The 25,671-nt window shown below is 41.7% G+C and overlaps 1 protein-coding gene and 3 long non-coding RNA genes across 26 annotated transcripts in view; 2 read left to right on the top strand and 2 right to left on the bottom strand.

The window, feature by feature from the left end:
* Positions 1-20,830, top strand: part of LOC105373170 (uncharacterized) — a 42,129-nt gene extending 21,299 nt beyond the window's left edge. Inside the window, exons 2-4 of one of the 4 annotated variants that reach the window (XR_949268.4) lie at positions 3,571-3,680; positions 12,114-20,687; positions 20,740-20,830. This is a non-coding gene — a long non-coding RNA (uncharacterized LOC105373170). Of the gene's footprint in view, positions 1-3,570; positions 3,726-4,091; positions 4,176-12,113; positions 20,688-20,739 lie in introns of those variants that run through there. The other 3 variants (XR_007066940.1, XR_001738521.2, XR_949269.3) reach the window with 3 other exon arrangements.
* TSNAX-DISC1 (TSNAX-DISC1 readthrough (NMD candidate)) overlaps positions 1-25,671 on the bottom strand; it is a 512,620-nt gene that overhangs the window by 214,868 nt on the left and 272,081 nt on the right. For 5 of the 6 annotated variants that reach the window (NR_028394.1, NR_028395.1, NR_028397.1 and 2 more), the window contains one exon: positions 7,161-8,076. This is a non-coding gene — a long non-coding RNA (TSNAX-DISC1 readthrough (NMD candidate)). Of the gene's footprint in view, positions 1-7,160; positions 8,077-25,671 lie in introns of those variants that run through there. The other variant, NR_028393.1, reaches the window with a different exon arrangement.
* The window catches only part of DISC1 (DISC1 scaffold protein), a 414,483-nt gene that overhangs the window by 214,868 nt on the left and 173,944 nt on the right, over positions 1-25,671 (bottom strand). For 9 of the 15 annotated variants that reach the window (NM_001164537.2, NM_018662.3, NM_001012957.2 and 6 more), the window contains one exon: positions 7,888-8,076. The exons of 2 other annotated variants lie outside the window; for them this stretch is intronic. In NM_001164537.2, coding sequence (NP_001158009.1) covers positions 7,888-8,076 — 189 coding nt within the window. Of the gene's footprint in view, positions 1-7,197; positions 8,077-25,671 lie in introns of those variants that run through there. 4 more of the 15 variants (NM_001164544.2, NM_001164545.2, NM_001164548.2 and 1 more) reach the window with 1 other exon arrangement.
* On the top strand, positions 7,888-11,779 carry DISC2 (disrupted in schizophrenia 2). Its single transcript, NR_002227.2, has one exon. It is a non-coding gene; the product is annotated as a disrupted in schizophrenia 2 (long non-coding RNA).

Below are 25,671 nucleotides of genomic sequence, written 5' to 3'. Positions count from 1 at the left end.
AATAGATGACTTTTTGTAGACTTTTGTTTTGTAATTATGAATCTATGAGTGTGGTATTTAGGTAGGGTGATGAGGTTGCGGGATGGATAGAGAGACTGACGTTAGGAATCAAATTCATAAAGAACATAAAGCAACGTCAAAGGTAAAATGGCAGGTAAGAGGGATTCAGATGGTGGCCTTGCCCCCTGAAGGCTCTGTGACAGGATCCTTCCTAAACCTCAGCTTCTTCATCGGTAAAACAGAGATTCCAGTGGAGCCAGTACCACAGTGGTCCAGAGGATGAGATGACTAAAGTATGTCAAGTCTTAGCACAGTGCTTAGTTCTCAAGTGCTTGAGAAACAAAAAGAAAGAGATAAGTCTTTGTTACTAAAAAGAGGGTGACTTCGTACAAGGGATCATTCCTTTTCTTCAAAGAAAACATTAAATCCACAATAGCTGTAGCTCATCTGTGCATACAGAAATCTGTGCCCAAGAAATACATACTGAATATACACAGTAAAGAGCAATGGAGGAAGAAATCTGCAAAGAACTTATATTTAAACCTCTAAGGATCTATATGAAAGATAATGTGAATAATAGAATTTGGTTTTATTAATTCCAGGCAAGTTCTAATGATCATGACAACATATTTTCAAATCATAGGAATGATACTAAAACATAAAGCATTAGGCTGAAGTTATGCAGTTAACTGAGGGTGGTACCACTCCTACCTGGGGGCATTGAAAAATGGGGGTGGGAAGAAGAGTTGGATGCAGGCAATGACCAGGGATGTGAAATGTTCTGCAATACATGATAGGGTCCCCATGCAAAAAATAATCCCCTCACCCAAAACATGGCAAACAGGCTCTTCTTTAAGATCATGAAGTTCCACTTACCATCACTCTTAGCTTAATCTTCAGGACATTATATGAGCGTGTGTGAGTACATGTGTCTACCAACATTATCAAAGCCCAGAGTCCATATGAAATGTACAAAGAGACTCTAATACGCACTGATTAGTAAGAATAATCTACAAAGCAGAAAATCTGGCAGATATTTAAGAGACACATGTACCCACCCTATTACATAGAGTCAAGTTTCTGCTCTAAATGAATTAGCATGTTAAAAAAAACTGCCTGTTGCAATTTGGTATGAAATATAATTGAAAACATCATTGTATTTCCACCCAGGGGGTAAGTGACTTACGTATTTTAAGGGAGTATAGAAACAAGTAGAGAGACAAGTGAAAAAAGATGTAACAATAGTAGGGACTTTTAAAAATATATATGGATAAAAGTGGGAAAAGGAGATCAAAAGTAGCTGAGAGCAAGAAAATAAATGAACAAAGTATAAATTGAATTGTGGAAATTCACATACAAGGGGCTAGAGTTAAAAGGGACCTCAGTAGCCACAGGGACTATCTAATTCATCTCTGGACCATGAGGGCCTGCCACAGCGCCTAGCATATCGTAAGTACTCAATAAATGCTTGTGGAAAGGATGGATGGATGGGTGGATGGATGGATGGATGGATGGATGGATGGATGGATAGAAATGCAACTTCAAGATCTGGTTCTACAGTATTACATATGAAGCAACTGAGACTCAGATAAAATTCAGTGAGTTGCTGAAGACTATTCACTCATTGAGCCTCACATTCTGATGCTATATATATCAGGTGCTATGCAGATGATTAGGGAAGGGCAGGACTGAGATTAAACTGACACCCCCTACATCCTAATCCAGGCTTTTTCCACTGTATGGCGATGCCTCCCAAAAGAATTATCACAGCGACTTAATAAAGGAGGGAGAAAGTTAGCTGCAAATTTCAAGCTTAGAAATTCACAGGCAAAAATGGCTGAAGGGAAATAATCACACTAATAGTGATGCAAGGATGTAACTGGAAAGGAAAAAATGGAGAGAAATTAAAAACACAAACAGATTTAGTCAGGGTCCTGATAAAGTGATAATGTAATCAATAAGGCAAATCAAAGATAAATGATTAGAGATTTAAAACCTCAGCCTATCAGAAAAACCTGAGGGAAAAGATTTTGAATTTTTTTTATTTCTTCCAAAAGATCCTATTTGACATTTTTTTTTAAATCTAAATGACCAAAGATTTCGAATTTGGAAAGGCAGACACATATCTATTTCCCATATAAACATCTACATTTCTTGCCACATAGCACCGCAACACTCATCTGGTTCCAAAGCAGACGGCTTGGCCCTCTGTTATCAAGAGCACTATCACCGTTCTGGCCCGGAGAGCTAAGTTTTCTTATACATAGGTCGTAGCCAAAGCTCAGAGGAAAGAAGTGACATTTGGTGAGTGTACAGGATATGTTCTCCAGCCACTTTTTAGGTGCTAAGTTACATCTTGAAATAATGTCAGAAATTGGAAGATGCCGTATTTAAACTTCACTAGCCCAAGCCCTAATTCACCTCGACAGTTTAATATCTTAATGTTTCTTAAAATTTGAGGACTCTTAGAATGACCCCTTTAAAAATCTGCTGAAAAACTGGATCTTTTTGTGGGAAAAACTGTCCATACCTACATATCTAAAATGTGTATGTGGTTTCAGTCTCTCCTGTGCACAGTCCCTCCTGCTTTGAAGGGATCCCCAACATGTTTTTTTCCTAGAGGTAGTTGGTCACAACCATCGGATAACATGCTTATCACCTGGGTGATAAAATATTCTGGACACCAAACCCCGATGACATGCAATTTACCTATATAAAGAACCTGCACATGTATTCCTGAACCTAAAATAAAAAGTTGTAAAAAATAATAATACAAGTAAAAGAGCTTTCTGCATGTGTTATAAATCTGTTCAGGAGGACTTTCCACTATGCTTTCAAGAGAAGTGTCTTGAAGAATTTAGCATCACTCTGAATTCCCAAAAAGCTCTGTGCTTTTCAAGGTGCTTTTGAGGAAGAAGGATGATGCTTCAACTGTCTTCTTTGCTGTGACTTCTAGGAAGTTCATTATCACATCATATTCTCAACCAAATAATTAACACTTGACATTGGCATTTTCTTCTGTCTTTGTTTTTAAATTTTATTGTTGTTTGCTAATTTTATTGTTTTTATCTTTGTTGTATGTATTGTCCCGGCTCTCCATTTCCTCCCTCTCCCTGCCAATAAAAGAGACCCATAGATTTTATTCTTTTGTTCTACTTTTTCATCAGTTTCTTCTACATATATCTGACATATATGGAAAAAAGAATTACTGCCTATATATGCAGAACTTGTAACTCACAGGATTTCTAAACTAAAAGACTTTTCTTAATAGGTGTGAAGTGAAATTCTGCAAGTAGCTGCATCTGGGAACTTCAGAGTTAAACCGATATCTCAGTATAATCTGTCACTGCTATAGTTTCTTTTCTTTGACCTCCAAACCTTATGTTGAAATTTGACCCCCAATGTTGAAGGTAGAGCCTAATGGGAGGTGTCTGGGTCTGGGGGCAGATCCCTCAAGAATAGCTTGGTCATCAATGAGTGAGTTCTCACTCTATTAGTTTCTGGGAGAGCTGGTTGTTAAAAAGAGTGTGTCATGTCCCTTCTCTCTCTTTTTGCTTCCTCTCTCACCAGTGATCTGCCTAGGCCAGCTCCCCTTCATCTTCTGCCATGAGTGGAAGCAGCCTGAGGCCCTCACCAGAAGCAGATGTTGGCACTATGCTTCTTAGACAGCCTGCAAAACTGTGAGCCAAAGAATTCCCTTTTCTTTATAAATGACCCAGCCTCAGGTATTCCTCTATAGCAACGCAGATGGACTAAGACACTCATGCTTCCTTTCATTAGCTATTTCAAGCTCAAAAATTGTGAGACTGTGCCAAGAATTAGGGCAGGATCTTGTCATTGCGAACTTACAACTTTTCTATCTAAAGCAAAAGGTCCTAATCCCAAACCATAATTGGAAAGGTGCCTCTACTCCAACCTCATTGCCCTTCAACTGCCCCTTCTCTGCCTCCCATTCCCCTCTTACTCACCGAAAGACAAATGAGTTTAGGCTGGGCACAGTTAGCCATCGTTCTCAGAAAAACAAAATCTTGCTGCTTGGTATTCTCACTTAGAATCCCTTCACTTAGCTTATGGATCACCCTACACAGATTCCTGACAGCTCACTGGGCCAGGGAACCAGCCAGATTTTTGAGCTACATCTGCAGTATCTTTTCTACTCAGGCAGCTGGCATAAGGTGGGAAAATTCATTAACATGCTAATGATGTCCTATTTAAAATTCTAGTCCTGATTATTCTGTGATTAAATCTCTCCCCTTGACGTCGGTTTCCTTTATAGCTGAGTTACAGTGCGAAATCAACAATATTAATAAAGTACAATACAGATTACCAATTTATACACAAGGGATGGTGAAAAACTGCTGCGTAAATCTGAGGGCTGTCCTTTTAACTTGAAAAGCAGTTGTAGGCCGGGCGCGGTGGCTCACGCTTGTAATTCCAGCACTTTGGGAGGCCTAAGCAGGTGGATCACCTGAGGTCAGGAGTTTGAGACCAGCCTGGCCAACATGGTGAAACCCCGTCACTACTAAAAAAATATAAAAATTAGCTGGCCTATAATCCCAGCTACCTGGGAGGCTGAGGCAGGAGAATCGCTTGAACCTGGGAGACGGAGGTTGCAGTGAGCAGAGATCGCACCATTACACTCCAGCCTGGGTGACAAGAGCAAAACTCTGTCTCAAAAAAAAAAAAAAAAGCAGATGTAGCAAACTGTAAAAGTTGCTGATTTTTTTCATTCCACCCTTCTTTAAATAAACACACACATTGGAATCCACAATAATTAAATGTTTATAGTTAATTTCCATAAATATTCAAGGCTTGGAAGATAGATTTAGCTTTTCCTTCTATTTCACTGCACTTAACATTGCTCCGAATTCAAATGTGTTATCCTGAAGTCTCAAGAACAGCTGACAGGAGTTAAAGCACACTTCTTTATCATCTCTTTATAGAGATTGTGTCTTGGCAACAAAAGCCAATGGATTCGGTGATGAGGTCTGTCTCCCTTTGCCCTTGAGTACCTTGGCATATTTCAGTTCCTTTTCTATCACCGTATTGTTCTATTACTGACACTCCAAACTGAATATCCAACTCAGACAACTCAAGCACCTTCCAAGAAAGACAAACTTATCACTACCCTCATTAATTTGGAAAATGAATAAAGAAGCAGAAGATTCAAGGTCCAGATCTGCAATCTAAAATGCAGGAAGAGAGGACTCATTCATGTGTCATTTTAACATCTGGCCCCAGTAAATGAACAAATATTGATGGTATAGTATATTTACTATTTTAAAAGACATCATGCTGGACACCAAAGCAGTACAGTGAAACCTAAGAACAATGTTCTGACCTCGGTGGACTCACAATCTAGCCAGAGACACAAGATACAATGATATTTTAAGTGATGCATGCAGCAAATTCATCTCAGGTGCATCATTAGAGATACACTTCACATCATTAAAAGGTCTCTGTACGAGAGACACTGCTAATTGTTCCCTAAGACTGCAAATCTCCCCTTTTGCTATGGAAACAGAATTCATCACTTTAGTGGGGCACATTGCTGCCCAGGGTAAGGACAGCTCCCAGCCCCTCTTGCAAGTAGCTGTTACCATATAACAAGGTTAAGGTCACAGGGATGTGGCCGTAGCAGAGATGTGTGCAGATTTCTAAAAGCGTACTTAAAGGGGATAGATGAGCTCTCTTCCTTCTTTGTTTTTTTTCTGACTGGACTTGGACATGCATGTGGCTGGGTCAGCCAGGTTGGACTGAATGGCACATGTTGTGGGGCAGAGAAGAACAAGATAGAAGAGTCTGGGTTCCTGACAAGCAGGGTGGCTTGATCATCCATGAGTTGCCTTTTTCCCCTGAACGCTGCATTCCACAACTATTGTTGGAAATCAAAATCTTTTTTTAAGAATACTACATATTGCTCATTTCTTAAATGGTTTCATTCTCTAAGGCTAAAAAGAGTCATGGTACATGCATGCATATGTGTATGTGCATAAGTACACTCTCCTTTGTACTTTCTCTACATTTAAACTTGAACACAGAGCTCCCTCTGAATTTTTAACCCTCAAAACACAAAAAAAGCTGAATATGGACTTTGCCCCAGTTTTATCACATTTTAATAAATAAAAGCTTCAATGTATTCAGGAATTCATTATTTATTTGTTTCCCACACTCTCAACCCTAGATTATTAATTTGGTTCACCTAAAGCCAACTCACCTCAAATTGGTTAAAAAAAATTAAGCACGTGTAAATCAATGTATAGGGAAAGGGTGGCTGATCCAGCAAAATCCAAGTGTAAAAACATAAAGAGAGGCTTCACAACAGTAATGAGCCATCTGCAATTTAGAATCATCCATGGTAACAATCTCTCATTCCATTTGTTTATGTTTTATTCATCATTGTGAAAATACTTAGTGAAGTGACGATGATGAGATTCAAAAATACTGCATGGTTCTTTTTTTAAAAAGAGATATTAATGGCTTTCAGGGGCTCAACTATTCAAATGAAAATATTGCTGGACTAAATTTGCTCAAATTTGTTCACTTCCTCTTCATTCTTGGATATAATATATTCTTCATTTTATGACAAAAAACTATGTGGTGAAAACATGAGAAATTCCGTAGTTTCCATCGTTTATACATTTAAAAAATCAATAGCAGAAACCTATTTCAAATGTACAATCCTCATTCCTATCATGACAGAGTAAACCAGGCTGCGGTGTCTTGGGTGAGCGTGTTGTCATTCCCTAGTACTACAGTTATTTAGCCTCAAACGTACTGTCTCTAGTTACATATACGGCAAAAACAAGGCTTGACCTTTAAGAATGAAAAGAAAAAAAGATAAGTACTGAGCTGTTAAGCCAACTTAAGGGTATTCATTACAAAGAAGACAGAATAACTACTGAACATACTCTTTGATTCTAATATCTCTATGAAGAAACCTCTCTCTACACAAATTGATAGACATTTTAAAAGAAAATTTATTCATCCCAAATTGATGCACTTAACTTCAGCTAGCTGATTTTATATTTCTCAATCTAGCTTATAAATACTACTCTTCATTTACTTCAATTTACGGAGTATTTACAAAAGCCCTATTTCAAATCTGGTTCCTATCAGCCCCGTTTTTTCTTATTTCTTCTTAAATAAGCATACTTTGTAAAATATAGCCATTTATTCATATATATATTTCTTTCATTTGTTTTAGTAAATGACATTTATTTAGGAACCATTTTTTAAGAAATAAGTTTTTACCATCTCAATTTGCACTGAACCAGCGTCTTCTGAGACCATCCCTCTGGGTGCAAATCTCAGAGTAAGCTCAGTTACTCCTAACGACTGGAAAAGGAAAGAACACAGGAACACTTGAACTCCTCTGACAAGCAGACACTTTGGCTAAGGCGGCATTCACATCTTCTACATCATCCTTCCTGGGGAAAGAAGCTCTCAGAAAAGTCCACACATAGAAGAGCCACTTTATGGTCTTCCCTCAATTTTCTCAGATCAGCCTGATTTAGTCTATGATTGTGCAGACAAGGAGACGGAGCCAAGGGACAAAAGGAAGATAATTGTCACACAAAGAAAATGCTCAAGACCTTGCCAAGGGAGAGACTGCTCTAAATAATAACAAGGCTATTAGCAAACACAGGTTGAGACAGGGAACAGAAAAAGAAAAGATGTCACATGTGAATATGAAAACAAAAGCTGACAAGTAATTCCATTCGGTTTGCCAAGGCACCTGCCAAAAATGTCCCCAAGGAAAAGGGCCATGTGCTCCATGACGCTCTTCACAGTGACGTTCACATAAGGCACAGAACATTCTGCCTGGCCACAAAACACAACAAATATCATCAATATCTTGCCGGGGAACAGTTGTGCACTACCTACCATAGGCAGTCTCCTGGTGCTCCACTTCTCTTCTCAGTCTGTTGTAATCTTCTTTAACACTTCCCAGCTTTTTGACATTCCTGGAACTCAACACCAACAGCTTGCTGAGGAGTCCCTCCAGCCCTTCTCTCTCTGATGTTAATGATCTAATCTCCTCGGTGAGGTCTTTAGCCGTCCAGAAATGGTTTCCTACAGCACGTTGTGGGAGAGAAGAAGGGAAAACAAGCTTTACAGCATCCACACACATGGAAGATCTAGCAGCAGCTAATGTACATTCACAGCATGGGCAAAGAAACTGCACTTTGAGATTATGTACAATTTCCTTAGCAGTCCTCTGGGGAAAGAACCTGGAAAAATATTGCTCTCCTTAAACTGGAAAAATCACCGTCTTTTTTATCACCTTATTCTTGTTATGTCCATTTTAGGAGTTCCATTGGTGAAGCCATCTCCCGTAAAGTATGATGACCCAAAAATGTCCCAGTGGAATCCAGAGAAACCACAATGTGTCACTCCATTCCAATAATATACAAATGTCAAAGAGATGACATATTATAGCAGTGTGGAAGGGGACTGGGCCATATAATCAGAGTTGACCTAAATTAAATTCCTCCCCTGTTACTCAAACTGTGTGACCTGGAGCAAGAAAATTAGCACATCTGGGGCAAATTTCTTATAAAATATAATTGCAATAACACCTGACTCATAGGTAGTTACAAGAATAAACAAGAAATTCTGTAAAGCACTGAGAAAAATATATGATAAATTAAATGTAGCAAGATTGCAGGATACAAGGTCAATGTACAAACATCAATCTTATGTCTAAATAACAAAAAACTAGAAGATGATTTTTTAAAAAATACAATTTACAAAATATTTTAAATCTCATAATACTGAGGGATACTTTCTTTAAATATGTGCAAGAGCTCTACAGTGAAAACTATTTTTCAAAAACTGCTGAGACAAATTAAAGACAAATAATTTAAAAGATACACTGTATACATACACTGGAAGTTCAATATTGGTAAGATTTCAATTTTCCCCACATTGATTCATTGATTTAATATAATTCCAATCAAAATGTTATGAGGTTCTTTTGTAGAAATTTATGTGCTTATTCTAAAACGTCTAAGAGTGAGCTGGGCATGGTGGCTCACACCTGTAATCCCAGCATTTTGGGAGGCCGAGGTGGTGGGTCCCTTGAGGTCAGGTGTTCAAGACCAGCCTGGCCAACATGGCGAAACCCTATCTCTACTAAAAATATAAAAATTAATCTGGCACAGTGGTAAGCACCTGTAATCCCAGCTACTCAAGAGGCTGAGGCAGGAGAATCACTTAAACCCAGGAGGTGTAGGTTGCAGCGAGCTGAGATCCTGCCACTGCACTCCAGCTTGAGCAACAGAGTGAGACTTCATATCTAAACAAATAAAATCTAGAAGAATGAGCCCATGAGTTTGAGGCTGTAGTGCACTATGATTGCACTTTTGAACAGGCACTACACTCTTGTCTGGGCAACATAGCAAGTCCCCACCTCAAAGAAGGAGAGGGAGAAAGAAGAAGAAGGAGGAGGAGGAGGTGAAAGAGGGAGGGAGGGAAGGAAGGAGAAGACGAAGAAGAATGAAGAAGAATAGGAAGAAAGAAGAAGAAGGAAGAGGAGGAGGAGGATGACCAAAGCAATCCTTAAAAAGTGAGTCTTGGTTTCAAGACTAATGCTAAAGCCACTATAAATCAAGGTAATATGGCATTGAATATACATAGACAAACAGATCGATGGAATAGAATAAACAGTCCAGGAGTGGATTAACACATATACAGCCAACCAAAGTGCCAAAGCAAGTCAATGAGGAAAAGAAAGTATTTTCAATAAATGGTGCTGGAACAACTAGCTATCTACATGGAAAAAATATTAACCTTGATTCATACCTCAAACCACACAAAAATTTAATTAAAGGTGGATCACAGGCCTACATGTAAAAGTTAAAACTATAAAGCTTCTACAAAAAAAAAATGAATATTTGATTGACTTTGGAGTAGGCAAGAACTTCAGATAAGATACAGAAAACACTATTTTAAAAAGGATAAATGGGCTTTATCAAAATTAAAAACTTCTCATCAAAAGACACAACTAAAAAATGAGACGACAAGTCACAGACTTGGAGAAAATCATTGCATTATGTTTAACTGACAAGGAATTGAATACTACAACTTGACAATTAAAACACAAATGGTGCCATTGAAAAATGGTCAAATGACTTAACAGGCATTTTACAAAGTAGACGCACAAATGGCTAATAAGCATATGAAAAAACATTTGACATCATTAATCATTAAGAAAAGAAAAATTAAAACCATAAATATTCCACTACAAGCCCACTCAAATGTTTCAAATTAACTCAACTAAAAATGTCAACATTCACAAGGGTATGGAGCAACTGGAACTCTCACGCATGTAAAATGGTCCCTTCAAGAAAAGTTCTGCCAGTTTCTCATAAAGTTCAATGTATACCTACCCTTTAATCCAACAATTCTACTTCCAGGCATTTACACAAAAGAAATGAAAACATGTCATCAAAAATATTTGCACTCAAATAAATGGTCACAGTGTCTTATGCCTGAGAGCCAGCCCCATACTGGAAGCAACCTAAATATCCATCAGCAGGAAGATGCAAAAATAATACTATAGCTATGCAATGAAAGACTACTCAGCAATAAAAAGAAACAAACTCGTCATACATGCAGCAACATGTATGTGTCTTTTTCTTTCTTTCTTTTTTTTTTTTTTGAGACAGAGTTTTGTTCTTGTTGCCCAGGCTGGAGTGCAGTGGTACGATCTCAGCTCACTGCAACCTCCACCTTCCAGTTTGAAACTATTCTCCTGCCTCAGCCTCCCAAGTAGCTAGGATTACAAGTGCCCACCACCACGCCCAGTTAATTTTTGTATTTTTTAGTAGAGCCGGGGTTTCACCATGTTGGCCAGACTGTTCTCAAACTCCTGACCTCGTGATCCACCCACCTCAGCCTTCCAAAGTGCTGGGATTACAGGCGTGAGCCACCGCGCCCAGCCAACATGTACATGTCTTTAGAAAAGATGCAAAAGAGTAGTGCCACATGATTCCATTAAGTTCTAGAACAGCCAAAATTAATCCATGGTAGAAGATATCAGAACAGAGGAGGGACGATGATGACTGGGACAAGATAGGGTGTTGTTTCTTGAGTGATGAGACTGTTCTATCTCTTGGTAGGGCTGTTCGTAACACAGGTGTCAAAATTCAAGAACTGTAAACACTTAAGACCTGTGCATTCCACTGAATATAAACCATACCTCAATTAAAAAGAGGAAAAATTAAGAAATTTTTAAGCATGAACATTGAACAATAAATAAATATATAACATTAATGAGTGTCCCATAAATTAGTTAGTGTTAATTAGAAAACCCCACTGTGTTTTCTCAGAATTTATAGTAACCATAATCACAATAATAGCTACAAACTTTCTCACCTTTAAATGTCATCACAACTTTAGGAAACAGGTTATATCTTATATTATTATTATTATTATTATTATTATTATTATTATTATTATTTTACATTTTAACATCTCTGAAACAGGGATGTGTCCTACAATCACCATCAGCCAGGAAGTGGTCAGGATGCAGTGGTTATAACTGGATTATTTTCCCTGGCCTGGCTGACCATCTGCAACCCCCTGGTGTTTCAATGTACAAACTATTTTAGGACCATCTGCGTACTGGCTGTTGCCTGAAAATCTTGTGTTGATGTGGATTTGTAAGACTGGGAAAGCACCAGCATTCAAAACTTGAAGAAAGGTGTTAGCAGTTTGGCAGACAATCCTACAGAAAACTCTTTATTCTTGGGGGAGAAAAAGTTGCCTCCCATCAACTTCAATGGTTCACAGGATGATGACGTGTGGGGAAACACAAACCTCGACAACATTGAGTCCAAATGTGTTTCGGAAGACTCAGAATGAAGAAGAAGATGCCAAGGAAAACCTTAACCAATTTATTTTCCTTTTTAATGAGTGATATGTGATTTTTCAAAAGCCTAAATACATCTAAAAGAGCTATATCAGTTAAGTATAAGATAAAAATTCTAAACCATAGAAAGCACTGTTACTGCTTAATTGACAGCAATTTTTCTTTCTTTGCAATGTATAAAATAATGGGTGCTTTTTATGTTCACTGAAATTCATATTGTTGTCTCCTTTTACAGCTGGGAAAGCGGAAATCTGGAGAACTAAAATATCTTGCTGAAGATCACAATGCAGTAAAGCATAGGGCAAGTTTCCAACTCGAACATCACCCCAGAACACTTCCTTTTAAACATAAATTATGTTGCTAACTTTTTTATTGTTACTTAGCAGGCAGATTTCAAACTGATACAAATGTTGAAAATGATACAAAATGTTTTCCCACCTTAAAGGCATTCTGAAACCTAGCACATAACATCTGTCACTGAAGTCCATAGTTTCCAATGCCATGATTGGATAAAGACCCTATTGAGACTCATGTGTTTGTCTCTCACTGCTTAAAACACTCATGTGTTTTAAGCAACATGACAAGCACAAAAGAGAACAAGTACTGCTCCTGCTCTCCAGGAAGTTACCATAAAATAAAGGGGATAAGGTGCCTTCCAAAGAAAAAACAAATACTAGGAGAGGTCAGAGGAGAAGAGAGATTATTCCAGAAGGAGAGACTGAGGCAGATTTCAGGAGGGAAGAATATAAGAGTCCCAAAAGAAGAAACAGGAACCCAGGTTAGAGAGCAATGGGCAAGGGGTAGGAGGTGAGACTAAACTCACAAGGAAGTTGCTTCAAAACAATAGTGCCCCAAATGCCAAGCTGATGGGTTGGACCCATTTAGGAAAAACCCACAAAGTCCACAGGAGAGCAGACTGCACTTCCATGAGCTTCAAGCTGTAAACAGTAACCTCAAATAAAACTTTTCCCGGATCGGTAATTTCCATCCTGAACAATGGCCAAGTCAAGGAAGCTGAGGATCGAGCCCCCTACCGCATGCCACAAAGAACCTCAAGGGACCCCATGCTCTGGGGAGCTCGCAGGAGGACCAGCACAGAGGTGTGACTGCGTTGGGGCAGGGTGGCCACATGTACAATGTTGTACCTTCCAATGTTCCTCCTTAGGCTGTGCTTATGAAGTCCCAACATGTCTTCTGGGCTGTGTTTTCAACCAAGAGAGTTAATAAAAAGTGGGATGGGCACCAACTATGCCTCCAGAGACATCAGGCAGAATATGCCACAGCGTGCCATGTCCTCCTGCAAACAGTCAGAAAGAAAAGATCTCTAAAAGCAGATTGGAAGAGACTATATATACAGAGCGAGTGCCGGTACAGAAGTTTTGCTGCAAATACACCCTCTAATCCCTTGCAACCCACTGCAAGCTCGAGAGACCAGTGCCCTTGGTAAAACATAGGAGAGATCATTAATTAAAGCCTAGGCCCTTTCTTTGATCCTGAGGGATAAGGCTTGGGAAAATGCACAGTGATAAAAGTGAACATTTTAAAAGAGCAGAGTGAGTGTGAATTCCCAAAGAGACCATTCATATCAAGACCCAAGCCATGAGAAAATGCTACAATGCCCTTGATCAATACTTTATAGGCATTTTGACCTCAGATCTAATCCCATGAGGCTTAGACCAAGACCTTGCTTGATGCAGACCTCTCTGACTGCTGAAATTGGTCAGGAGCTCAGTGATGAAAATTTGGAAAGTCAATGCTGATACCTGAAGAAAGTCCCATCAGAGATCTGTGACCTGAATCTTCATAACTTTCACAGGCCCTTTCTAAATGCCAAGGAGGATGTGTGTGGAGAAGAATATGCCACCTATGGCATCCCAATATGCCTGTGCCCGCCTGCTCTTCAACAAGGGAATGAAACCTGGGTATTCTCATAGGTTTTTTAAAGCACTTGTCCACATATTTTATTCCGCAAATAACACAATTTAAAATTCAGCTAGAATTTGCCATTTTCTGTCAGGGTTGTGCATTTCTTCCAGTCACCATGACTTCCTGAGATAGCCAAAACACAAAATTTAAATTGTGTTTAAATTAAATAAACACAATTTATGCTGAAGCTGACTTTACCCACTCTGTTCCAACATTACTTATCCTCAGCATCTCTGAATTCAAATATCAGCCAGGTGTGGTGGCTCATACCTGTAAGCCCAGCACTTTGGCAAGCCAAGATGGGAAGGTTGCTTGAGGAGTTGGAGACCAGCCTGGGCAACATAGCAAGACCCCCATCTCTACAAAAAAATTAAAAAATTAGCCAGGCATGGTGGTATGCACCTTTAGTCCTAGCTACTTGGGAGGCTGAGGTGAGAAGATCACTTGAGCCCAGGAGCTTGAGGTGGCAGTGAGTCATGATCATACCACTGCACTGTAGCCTGAGCAACAGAGCAAGACCCCATCCCTTAAAAAAAATACCTGCCCTCTGTACTTCATAGCACCTGGGGCATTTTGAACAGTTCTTCCTTCACCTGAGGTCATTATTTGAGAATCCAATTTTAGAGACTACAATGCTCTCATTACTTGGATTGTATCATTTAATCTTCCCAACAATCCAGGAAGGGGAGTCTCTTAATGATTGTCCTTGATTTCCAGTTAAAAAATCTAGACCCAGAGGTAACCTTGTGAAGGTCACAGAGTTTCAGAGTTCTAAGATCCCATGCGAGATTGCTGAACTTGAACTTGTTTCTTCTGATCTCATGTCAATAAGTGACTTAGTCAACACCTGGGTAGAAATCATCACTAAAGTGAGAAAGCACATGGTGAGGGGGATGAATCCTGTGCCCACATGGTCCCTTTCACCTGCCCAATCCTCAGGCCTCTCACCTGGGGTACCCCTCACACACATGGCACTTTCCTGAACTCATGGACATTTCAGTTTGTAACGATCCTCCTAAGATTATCTACTTTCACCTATCCACATTTGAACTATACTTCTTTAGTGGAAAAAAAGAAATAAAGCCAGTGCTGAGAATGATCAAACTCCAGAAATAGTAGACTGCTGTATAATTTGTCTTGCGTGACACCAGATCTTTCAAGGAACTGCAAGCTCAAGTGCACAGTTAAGCAAGATCAAGATCTACCTTTGTCTTTCAGAGCCTTCCCTTGGCGAGGTCAAGGATATCTGCTGTGAGCCTGGGCTGGCTGAACCAAAGGGCAATGGAGGCGGCCAAGAAGCCCCAGCCAACTGCTCCCCTCCCCAACCCCCTTCTCCCTGGAGGTCCCTTCAGCTAGAATTTGCCATTTTCTGTCAGGGTTGTGCATTTCTTCCAGTCACCATGACTTCCTGAGATAGCCAAAAGCATTTGCTGTGAGCAGAGCCCCATGGCTGGCTTTGCACATCAAACATTTCAGACAGCCATATATTTCATAGAATACAAGGGGAAGATAACACTGGACACACAGAACTTTCCAACAGCTTGAGAAAATGTGGTGCCTGGTGACTGACTAAATATACAATCGGACAACAGCCAGGCCATAGCAAAAGATGGAACTCTGATCCACAAGGTGCAGCAACTTTCCCAGAAAACAATACCCTTACCCACAAAAAGCAACCCCGGAAGCTGGCCTGCTCTAAATCAGACCTGCTGGAAGCCAAATTGCTCTCTAGTAACTATCCAGGAAGCTAAATAATAACTTCTGTAACAATTGACTCAAAATGTTCAGGACTGGATTAATAACTGATGGCTTCCCTAATTTTTGTCCCCGATTCCAACTTAGGACCCACCAGAGAAAGCCAAATATGGTCCCCTGACCAAGCACACAGGATGTTCGCTTCTAGTGAGCCGCCTCCAGCTTCCCCGCATTGATAACCTCCAATCAGGGCACACCTGAAGCCTTCGCCTTTTTCCACTATAAAGCTCTCCCACTCGTCTGCCCACCTTTGAGTCTCTGCCAAATTGCAAATGATGGTGTCTGACTCCCTTGCTGTAGCAAGCTCTGCATAATAGCTTGTGCTTATTCTCTTTGGGTAGGTCTTCATTTCTTTTCACACCAGATAGGCATCATCTTTGAAAACATCTTTACTGGGTCTCTTGTCTCCCTCCTGCAGCCACTGATCTAAATCACAGACTTTTTTAGAAAGAGGGAAAATAGTAAAGAAAGAAAGCGATTGAGTTGATGCTCCCAGCCACTGTCTGTACCCTGAATTTTGTTTTTCTGCCATATGTCAGGTGGCCTCTCCTGGACCATCGTCACTGTTTCTCCTGCTTCCCTGCAGCTGCAGACACAGGAGCACTGTGTAGGTCTGGCCTTGAGCACCCACCCACCCAGTACAGAGCCAGCCCCTGCTGTTCTGAATCAGTGCAGTGACCACTTAGAACACAGTGCCCATGCCTCTGTGATCTGAACTGCTCTTTCCAGTTCCATACAATGTTAAGAACCCACTTAAGAATGTTTTAATCATTCAGTAGTTTTTCGTGGTATATAATAAAAAAGTGATTTAAATACAATCTATTTTATTTTAGATTATATCATTAGGGGTTATTTTACAAAGTTACCTTTAAATACTATTGTAAATAAAATTAATAACAAATAAGCAAAATTCTTACTTTTCCTTGTTTGACAATTGACATGGTCAATTTAATTTCCTTTAAATTAATTATGCAAGAAAAGGATATTTCCTCAAGAAAATTTAAAATGATATATATTTCTTGGTTGGGTGCCAAATATTCATTCAGAAGAAGACGGAAATTTAAATCCTTGTTTCTAATTTAAGGAAAAAACTACTTTCATTATTGGATGTGTGAAATTCACCCATTTTGTGTTTATCTAGAAAATCTAGTTTATTGTCCAAATGTTCTTATTTTCCCCAAAAGCATCAGTTAGGAGAGAAGATTTCCAGCTGCCATTAAAATACAATTGTGTGCAATGAATACATTTTGGGTATAGATAGTTTTTATTCTCTATAAATGAAATGCCAAATTGGATAGAACCATCCTTTTTTTTTTTTTTTCAAAAAAAAAAGGCTTTTGGAGTATCAGAGACATCCTCTTATGTTATTTTAAAATAAATAATTATTTGAGCTGTTTGCTTCTTGGAAGCAGATAACAAGGGGGCAGGTGAGATAAAAAAAAAATATATCCAAACTGAGGTGAGACCAAAGATGGCCAATCTAAGAACCAGGCAGATGTCTCTGCCTGTCCTGGGAAGATTCCCTCACCAGGCTCCCTCACTGGCCAGAGGAGCCCACTTGTTGGGCTGCCAACTGGTTCCTATAAATTCTAAGGCAATTAGAATCATGTGGTGACTGTAACGGGAATGACACAGCTGCCCAGGCATTAGAAGGAAACCACACCCAATGGCTCAAGCCAGTGGCGAGAGATAAAAACTGAGAGACATCTCCCCTGACTAGCAGACTGGGCTCCCTGCTTCCCCATTGCTTCCTTTAAACAGGCCATTCACACATTTGCCTGAAAACTTACAGTGGCCCAGACCCTACTCCCTATACACACTGCCAGTTGCCATGTGCCTTGTTTCTCTCTCTCTGCATGATGCTTCATTCCTATCTGGAGTGGCCCAGGGACAAAGGACTGCCCTCCCGACTCTCTGTGCCCTCCCTGCCCAGGATCCGTAAATTACACTTTTTGAATTTGTTTCCTACTGTGGTGTATATTGCCTTTGCACCTTCCATCTGAAGACCAGGGGATGCCCCAGGCCAGGTTTTACCTGGGATGCCCAAGAGAGCACAAGGTTTGGCTCCCAGCGCCAGAGCAATGGGCAGGGGGGCATAAACTGAACACAGGAAAGGCAAGAGCCACAAAGACATATAAACAAGTTTCCCAGGCGAGGAGCCCCTGGTCACAGGTCAGACAACTAGGCATTGGGCCATCTACCAGGTAAAAGCAGCATCCTATGAAAGGCACGCAGTAAATACCATGTCCATCTCCCCTTCATTTCCCCTTAGGGCGGTTTGCTAGCTGTTCTGGGACTGGAACCTCAGTTTAGCTGGGGGCTCTCAGAACAGACAGCTAGATGAATTAAACAATGAAGTCTCTCAGCCTTAGGCACATCTTCCAGGACAAGGGGAAGGCCAGGGGAGAGTAACATCAGTGATCCTACAAGATGTGCTTCCAGGCCAAGGCCAGGTTGCAGTTGCAGCTACTTAGCCATGGTACACGGTGGGCCTGGAGCTTCTGGGTGTGCAAAGATGTGACTCAAGAGTCCATCTGCCAGCAGTGAGCAGGGCAGGCCAGCTCTCCTCTCACTGGTACGGTGGTTCCAGCCCTCACAGGACATTAAAACCACCTGGAAACTGTTTATGAAGGTTCCTATATTCAGGAAAAATCCCTAGAGATTCTGACCGAAGGAATTTGGTGCTGCCTGGGTACCAGTATTTTTAAATTTCCCCAGATGATCCTAACATGCAGTCTGAGTGAAAAACCCAAGTTTGACGGCTACAGGAATTTAGAGCTTCTCTAAAACATACAGGGAATAATACCAGGGCCATACATTGGAAGTCCTTCCATTGGGAATGCAAAGAAAAAAGAAAAAGATGGCCAACATCTACCATTTTAAAGGGATTCCAGCAAGCATATTATTAAATGCAGGGCTGCCTCTGGCATCTGGAAGCAGCTTGGGTGCCCTGGATATAATTCTCTTTTAAAAGTTTTTTTCACAGCTTTTATAGACCACTTAAAACTGGCCTTCATCTTGTGCCAAAATAGCAGGGCTGTGTTTGTTTAGCTTCAAGATTTTCAGGTCCAATTGATTAAAAAAGGTGAGTGAGAAGCCTGCCAACACACAGTGAGGCTGTCACCCAGGCAGCTGCTGCTGCTGGCTTCCAGCATCCAGAAGCTGGAACATCAGCCAGCTCCAATCACCTGACAGAGGATGGATCCTATGAGAAGGAGGACCGGGGCTTAAAACCAGACGTACCCACTGAAGTCAGGGCAGGAGATGAAAATCTTAACAAGTGAAGGAGGTATGAAAACAACAGATTCTAGGGATCAGCAACCAATGAATGAGGGTCCATTTTTTGAAAAACAAATACTTCTACTGGCTGTCTTTTGAGTGCCAGGCATTAAACAAAGTGGAAGAAAAAAATTGGAGGGTGACTCAACAGATGGACCAGATCAATAATGAGGGGTAATTTGAGCAGGACAAGGCTGGAGCTGGAAGTGCATGCAGGATGCCAGCATCAGAGCAGCCAGGCATCAGAGAGCCAGCCTTGACTACTCGCCGGGCCTCAGGGGCTGAGCCTTCGTCCCAGGACAAGGGAGTGGCCAGAGCTTGGCTGGCCCCGTTCCAGATGAGGACTGTGATACCAGTCAGGTCAACGAGCACCGATAGAGGTAGGGCCCAATATAGGACCGTGTCTCACAATGGTGCAGACCCGCAGTCCAACACACAGGAAGGATGCTTGTTGCTAAGTCTTAGACACGGGAACTGGAGGAGGGTTGAGGGCCCCCAGCAGTGGGAAGGCAGGCATGGCATGCAGACGGTGGACGCGGACTCAAGACACCAACTCTCATCACTACAGGTCCGTGGTTTGGAAAGTCCCAGCACCATTCCAGAGAAGGAAACAGGCCCAGGTTTCTGATGGGGATGGGTAGTAGCCACAGAGCACAAGTCAGCCGCACCCACCACACACTTGCTGTAGTGCCACACTCTCGGCCCTAGAGGGCACTGACGCTTTCCCTTCGCTCTGCCCCAGGGCCAGGGCCAAAGCCATCAAGTCCTGGGCAGAGGGCGGGAGCGTTCAGTGAGAGCAGCACAGAGGTTAAAGAGCTGCTCTTTTTTGAGATCTTCGCTCTCACTTCCTTTCCAGGCAGCCAGTTCAGCAAGGTGGGTCTGGGGCTGCCTCCTGGGAGAAGAGGCCTTTCACCCTCGAACCCTGCAGGACCTCAGTTTGTCCCAGGGCAAACCTCCTACATTGGGCAGTTAGGTCAGACCTGCTTCAGGCCTTGGAAGACTGTCTTCTCCTTGGCTTCTCTTACTGCACTGGATCCAGCCAGGACACTGATCAGACCTCCAGGGCCCAGGTTAACAATATGTGGCCCAGCTCTGGGAGAGAAGCCAGCAGGTCTCCCAGGCTTTTGAACTCGGAGCTGAAAACCAAACAAAAAAACGAATCCACCCCATTGACAAGTGGCCCAGCCTAGTTGGCCAGTCAGGAGACTGCACAGGCACTGAGGCCAAAGCTGCCTTGGATTAAGAGGTATGGATGCCACCGCTGCCCTTTTACTACAGGTACACTGGCCGGGAACCTGTAGCACTGAGTGACACCTGATCAGAGAGTCACCCACTGGCTGGGTCTCCCCCAACTCAGATGCATGGCTAACAATCACTAGCTAAGCATGTATTCACTCTGTGGAAAGCCACGTCACGTTCATATATTTATTATCTCATGTATTAATATACTGATGTACCACATTATTCTAATTTACTACCTCACTTAATTCTTACAACAACCTAATGTGATGGGCAATATTATTATTAGCTCCATTTTACAGATGAAGAAACAAGACCTGAAAAGGTTAAACAACTTGCCCAAGATCATCCAGCCAAGTCATGATAAAGCTGCACTTGAACACACACTTCTCAGATTCCAAAGCCCAAGTTTCTCTCTACTAACTGTATGGCCCCTGCACTCAAAAACTGAGAAATCTCTCTGCCCTGGTGAGTTTCTTCCTCTACGTCAGTATGCATAGAGCTCAGGGCTGTACTTTCCTTCACTAGTGATATGGTTTGGATCTGTGTCCCCATCCAAGTCTCATGTTGCAATGTAATCCTCAGTGCTGGAGGTGGGGCCCGGTGGAAGGTGATTGGATCATAGGGGCAGTTTCTCATTAATGATTTAGCACCAGTGGAAGGTGATTGGATCATAGGGGCAGTTTCTCATTAATGATTTAGCACCAGTGGAAGGTGATTGGATCATAGGGGCAGTTTCTCATTAATGATTTAGCACCATCCCTCTTGGTGATGCTGTTGCCATAGTGAGTTATCACAAGGTCCGGCTACTTAAAAGTGCGTGGCACCTCCCCCACCCCCCTCCTCCTGCTCTGGCCGTGTGAAGTGCTGGTTTCCCCTTCACCTTCCGCCATGATTGTAAGTTTCCTGAGGCCTCTCCAGAAGCCAAGCAGATGCTGCCATGCTTCCTGTACAATTTGCAGAATCATAAGCCAATTAAACCTCCTTTCTTTATAAATTACCCAGCCTCAGGTATTTCTTTACAGCAGTGTGAGAACGGACTGATATGTCTAGGAAGGACAGCAACAACAGAATCCACTTTTGCTATCGGCTTTAAACCAAACTATCCTCTGCTGAACAGGAAAATTGAAACAGAAATAGAGAATGGAAAAAAAGAGGTGACTAAAACACACTTAAGGTGTGTACAGTGAAAAGGGAGAGAAACAATGGGCTCTCTAAATTACTTTTCTTAATGTGTATTACACCACACTCAACTGGATATATTAATATCATCATGGTTCTTCCAAAAATCAATAATTACCTATCTGTAGTAGATTTCCTATACTAGCCTACTTTTCTTCCTTTTTTCATTTCTAACATCCTAGTTAATTCCATGACTCCCAAGGTGTTGCCACATCCATCCCTCTGTGTACAACATGGCCGGATTACGCTTCCTAAAGTCTGGTTTTAATCATGTCACTACTCCGCTAAAACATGGTAATGGCTCCCTAAAATGCTCTTATCCTTAGCCTACAATTCAGAGCTCTGTGTATCCTGGTCCTAACCAACTCTGAAGAGCTACCACAATACTAATCCTATACCTGGGCCAATCTAGACTACTCTTCCTCCTGAAGAAATAGCTGAGCTTTTCCTCCATATTCAGCCCAGGCATATCTAGCTCCATTCCACTGTGGCCAATGGGAGAACACAGCTATCAAAAAAGAAGAGACATTGAGCCAGGAGCTCATGCCTATAATCCCGTGACTCCAGAGGCTAAGGCTAAGGATGGCTTGAGCCTAGGAATTCAAGGCTGCAGTCAACTATGATCTTACCTCTGCACTCCAGCCTGGGTAACAGAGCAACACCTTGCCTCAAAAAAAAAAAAAAAGGAAGGGGGATCTTGTCCTGTTCTCTACTGCATCCTCAGTACCTAGAACCAGATCTGACACTTCCTAGATGCTCCATGATATTTTTCTTTTCAGTAAATAAATGGAACAGGCCATTTCCTCTGACTGAAAAGCTCTCTGTCCAGGTCTTCAGTTCTCAAAATCCTTCTGTCTCAATAAATACTGTGGCACTTTTTAGAGCATGGCACTGAAACTCTTTGACACACCTCTCATTGAGACTTGTTATAGTGGCCCTTCCCTTGAATCAGCACACCAGGAATGCTGGACCAATAAAACACAATGGAAGTAACACTGCAGTGGTTATAAAAATATGCCCACCAAATTCTTTAATACTCCTCCTTTGGGGTAAAACCTGTTTCCTTCCCCTTGCCTGTGGGCTGAACTGAACTTAGTGACTTGCTTCTAGTCACTAAGCAGAAGTGATGCTGTGTGACTTTGAAGGCTAAGTCCTAACAAGACACTGTGGCTTTTTTTTTTTTTTTTTTTTTTTTTTTTGAGACGGAGTCTTGCTCTGTCACCCAGGCTGGAGTGTAGTGGCGCGATATGGGCTCACCGCAAGCTCCGCCTCCCGGTTCATGCCATTCTCCTGCCTCCGCCTCCCGAGTAGATGGGACTACAGGCGCCCGCCATGACGCCTAGCTAATTTTTTGTATTTTTAGTAGAGACGGGGTTTCACCATGTTAGCCAGGATGGTCTTGATCTCCTGACCTCGTGATCCACCCACCTCGGCCTCCCAAAGTGCTGGGATTATAGGCGTGAGCCACCGCGCCTGGCATCTGTGGCTTCTGTCTTATTTGGTCTCTCTCCCTCAGATCACTGGCTCTGAGGAAATCAGCTGCTATGTTGCAAGAGGTCCTAGGGCACAGCTCTTGTGGCAAGGAACTGAAGCCGTCTGTTAACAACACATGCATGAGTTTGGAAGCAGATCTTTCAGCCCCAGCCAAGCCTTTAGACGACTGCAGCTCCAAAGTGTGTCTTAACAGCGACCTTATGAGACCCTGAGTCAGAGCCACCCAGCTAAGTCACTCTGGACTCCTGTCTCTCAGAGACTGTGAGAGATAAAGGTTTGTTGTTTCAAGCTATGAAGTTTGAGGAGCCACTTATTACACATTAATAGAGATGCATACCAGTGTCTGAATTCAGACCTTAAGAATAAGAAATTTCCATTTCCTTTCTCTTGGGACACTTGCTCTTGGAACCCAGCAGCCATGTTGTAAGGAAGCCAAGCTGCCTATAGAGAGGCCCACATAGAGAGCACTCAACAGCCAGACCATATGTATGCACCGTCTTGGGTGTGGATTCTCCCACCCCAGTTGAGCCACCCTAGCTGTCCCTGCCAAGCCCTGCCCAAATTGTATTTCCATGGGCAAAATAAATAACTGGTAATATTTTAAGTCACTACGTCTTAAAGTGACTTATTTTTTATTAGGCAGCAGTAGATAATGAAAATAGATTTTGGTATCTGGATATGGGATACTATTGTAACAAAATCCTAAAATCGAGGCATTGGTTTTGGGACTTGGTAGTAGGCAGAAGCCTCATGGGCCTCCGTGAAGGATAGAAAAAAGTAAGAAAAATATATCAGAAACTAGAAAAAAAAAGATCCTTGTAGTGGCAAAAAAGTCACTCAGTTACCAACTGAGGCAATATAAAAAAGAGTCCCTAATAATTGTAGTTAGACATCCAAGGAGATTTCCAGGCAGAATACAGAAGTGCCCACTGACCTCCTGTCAATGCCTGTGATGAAATGCAAGAGAAGAGAGATGAATTAAAGAATAAACTGTTACATGTAAAGGAGCTAGATCTGGCCAGGTTTGAAAATGAAACTAATTTGTTATTCCTACTCTCTGCAAATGGCAAATAGTTCTCAAATTAAGAAAGGACCTCAGGCCATAGATCAAAGTCAGGATGGATGTATTAGTCCTTTCTCACACTACTATAAAGATACCACCTGAGACTGGGTAATTTTTAAAGAAAATAGATTTAATTGACTCACAGTTCCCCATGGCTAGGAAGGCCTCAAGAAACTTACAATCATGGCGGAAGGCAAGGGGAAAGCAAGGCACCTTCTTCACAAGGTGGCAAGAAGAATGAATGCAGGAAGAACTACCAAACACTTGTTAAACCATCAGATCTCATGATAACTCACTCACTATCACGAAAACAGCATGGGGGAAACCGCCCTCATGATCCAAACACCTCCCACCAGGTCCCTCCCTTGAATGTGGGGATTACAATTTGAGATGAGATTTGGGTAGGGACACAGAGCCAAACCATATCAATCAGTCTATAAATCTAAGCGAATCATAGAAACTTGAAGAGAGACAAAAGACCCCCTAAGAATCTTAAGGACCTCCCTTAAGATCCTCTCCATTCAGGGCAGATCACAAGGTCAGGAGATTGAGACCATCCTGGCTAACACAGTGAAACCCCGTCTCTACTAAAAATACAAAAAATTAGCCGGGCGTGGTGGCGGGTGCCTGTAGTCCCAGCTACTTGGGAGGCTGAGGCAGGAAAATGGTATGAACCCAGGAGGCAGAGCTTGCAGTGAGCCGAGATCGCGCCATTGCACTCTAGCCTGGGCGACTGAACGAGACTCTGACTCAAAAAAAAAAAAAAACCAAGATCCTTTCCATTCAATAGGGCTTTTAAGAATCTTACCTAATGGAGTGAGGGTTTGCCCATTCTGAAGGTATTGAAACAGGAGAAAACAGAAATAGCATTATATGCAGGAGTTGCAAACAAATGTTGACCACCTTAACACTAGTATCACCTATGGGGACAGCCCATTGACTGAAAGGCCGGTCCACCAAAGAGCATACAGAGCAACCAGAAAATAGTGAGGTCAAAAGGTCAGTTACCAGGAGGGTTAATTCAGGTCATCCTTCAGCAGATCAGGCCTCACCAATTTTCTCAGCTGACCAAAGAGCTAAAACAGGAAACCTGCGCCATACGCAATATACCATCTTGGGCATTTTCCCTGGAGTCTGAAGAGAGATTGTTCACATTGGAGTGAGGCTATCTCTGCTGCCTGAATTATACATTTCTTCCCTTGGGCTTAACACAGACTCATCCACCGGTATTCCTGGGAAAGATATATTGATTAAGAAAGGCAAAAACCCTAACTCAGAAGCAAGACTGTGTTCAATCTTCTTTTTTTTTCTCTCAGCAAATGGGCCCATAATTTCAAGTAAATGGCATGTGAAGCTGTTAAGAGCCAAGCCCCACATTTGCGCTGCCATGTTCTACTGGTTGTAAATAATACGCGTGACTGCACCAGGGACCAAATTGCTCTTTAGCTGCCAACATTAGTTGTTTAATGATCTGAGGAGCAGAAGCTGCCAATTATTGTATTCCTTCTTAAAATACCATTTAAAACACATACATGTAATTATTATAACTTTTTGTTAAATTTTTATGATTCTTTTGAAGCTGATGAGCTCTGGGTCCATTCAACCTATAAAACTCAGAGAACTTTTTGAAGCTGTCATTACATAACTGGGTTAAAAATCCATATATAATACACCGAGAGAGGGCCTGGACTTTAGCCCCAGATCTGCCACTGCTTAGCTAATTGAGTGACCTTAACCAAAGGACACATCCCGCAGCCTCAACCTCCCCATCAGTCCATTCGGATCACGGTCTCTCTCCCATCTACCTAATATAGCAATTGTGAAAATAAAATAACAAATCCAGAGGAGTGTTTGA

The sequence above is a fragment of the Homo sapiens genome, chromosome 1, assembly GCF_000001405.40.
Source record: "Homo sapiens chromosome 1, GRCh38.p14 Primary Assembly".
Taxonomy (NCBI): domain Eukaryota; kingdom Metazoa; phylum Chordata; class Mammalia; order Primates; family Hominidae; genus Homo; species Homo sapiens.
The sequence above is the reverse complement of the archived record's forward strand: the minus strand, read 5'-3'. Positions and strand labels throughout refer to the sequence as shown.